Genomic DNA, 1,671 nt, shown 5'->3' with positions numbered 1-1,671 from the left:
GCAGCTGCAGTCACTATACTCATTTCATGGAGGCCAGACTGAGTCTCAGGGAGGTTCCCTGTTCTCTCCACAGTCATAGCCAAGAGCCAGGATTTAAACCCAGTTCTGGTCACCTCCTTCTACAGTCCCCACCCCCAACACTGGGTCAGTGAAGTGGTCCTTCTGGCCCCAGGATCTGGGCATAGCTTGGCTCACCTCCTGGGGGTATCCAGTGCCACGGGTCCCCTTTAGAGCTGTGTGCATGCCACATTTTCACTCGTGAGTTCCCACATCCCTAGGGATGAACCATGAACACACAAACACCAGCTGTGGGTGCCTTTGGCAGCGGCAGCATCTCTGCTCAGAACGGCCGCCACGGGTGTGTGTTCACTGTTGTGATGGCTAATTTGCTGTCAACTCGGCTGTGCCCAAATAGTTGGCCAAACATTACCCTGGATGTTGCTGTGCAGGTGTTTTTTGGATGAGATGACGTTGACAGTGATGGACTCTGAGCAAAGCAGATGGGCCTCCATGGTGTGGTGGGCCTCACCCAATCAGTGGAAGGTCTGCACAGAACAAAGCCTGACGTCCCCCGAGAAAGAGGGAGTTCTGCCAGCAACGGCCTTCGGACTCAACTGCATCTCTTCCTCCCTTTTCCATCCTGCCAGCCCACCCTGCAGATTTTGGATTTGCTGCCCTCATCAATCGAGTGAGCCAATCCCTTGAACTAAATATCTCTCTAGACCTAGATATGCACATCCCGTTGGCTCTGTTTCCCTGGAGAACCCCAATCAAATGCAGCCACGTTGCAGCCCTGTGCCAGGCCTTCTGCCAGCACGGACTCCTCGCAAACTCTGGAAAGCGGGAGCTGTCATCGGTCTTTTACAAATGAGTAACGGGAGCTCAGAGAGCATGAGTGGCTTGCCTTCTGTCCTGGCCGAGGAGCTGAGAGCCTTGAATTAATCAGAGCAGAGTTTGAATTCCCAGTCCTGATGTGTGACCACCGTGGTAGGCTTCTGTTTCCTCAATCACAGAGTGGGGAAAACACCTTCCCCACAGGGCCGTTCCAAAGGTTTAACTGGGTGAAGTCGGCAAAGCACTCGGCAAGTGGAAGCTGTTAGGAGTGGGGGGCAGAGTCAGGTTTTAACACAGGTGCACCAGCTGCTACAGCCATCTAGCTGGGTTTGTGGCCTCCGAGGGTCCCCCTCTGAGCACCATAGGGTTTTCTGGCCTCTGTCTTTGTGTTCAGGCCAGGACGGGCTCCTCCAGGATGCCGCAGGGCTGGTGCCTGGGCTCCTTTCTCATTTCCTGGGAGGCCCCAACATAGAGCAGCTGGGCGGCAGGGCAGGCCCTGTCTGCGGGAGGGGTGGCCTTCCATCCTCTGTTGCTGAGTCTGCGGTGGCACCACTGTGTAACTGTCCACAGAACATTAGTTGCACATTACAGGGTTATCTTCCATAGCTTGATGTATTCCCGAGATGGGTGGGATTCCGGAGAGCTGCGTGCAGGACCCCGAGGGAAGGAGCAAGGCAGGAAGCCTCAGCAGTCCCTTCCTTTGCTGGGCCTTAGGCTGCTGCACAGATGTTCTGAGTCACCTTAGGGAGGGTCCTCAAAGCACTGGGTAAGACCCGTCCACCTCAGTTCTCCCCCAAGACCCCCCACCTCTATTAGGTTGGATGGGGTGCAGGAAAC

General features: G+C 55.5%; 1 annotated feature.

Annotated features, from left to right (window-relative positions):
* Positions 832-1,671: an enhancer, noted in NCBI's record as "H3K4me1 hESC enhancer chr17:71983339-71984178 (GRCh37/hg19 assembly coordinates)". NCBI's record gives its function as "activates a minimal SCP1, AML or CMV promoter by ChIP-STARR-seq in primed H9 embryonic stem cells {active_cell/tissue: H9 hESC(primed)}" and the evidence as "EXISTENCE:reporter gene assay evidence [ECO:0000049][PMID:30033119]".

Source organism: Homo sapiens, chromosome 17 (genome assembly GCF_000001405.40).
Source record: "Homo sapiens chromosome 17, GRCh38.p14 Primary Assembly".
Lineage (NCBI taxonomy): Eukaryota > Metazoa > Chordata > Mammalia > Primates > Hominidae > Homo > Homo sapiens.
Note: the sequence above shows the minus strand (reverse complement) of the source record. Positions and strands in the feature narration are given on the sequence as shown.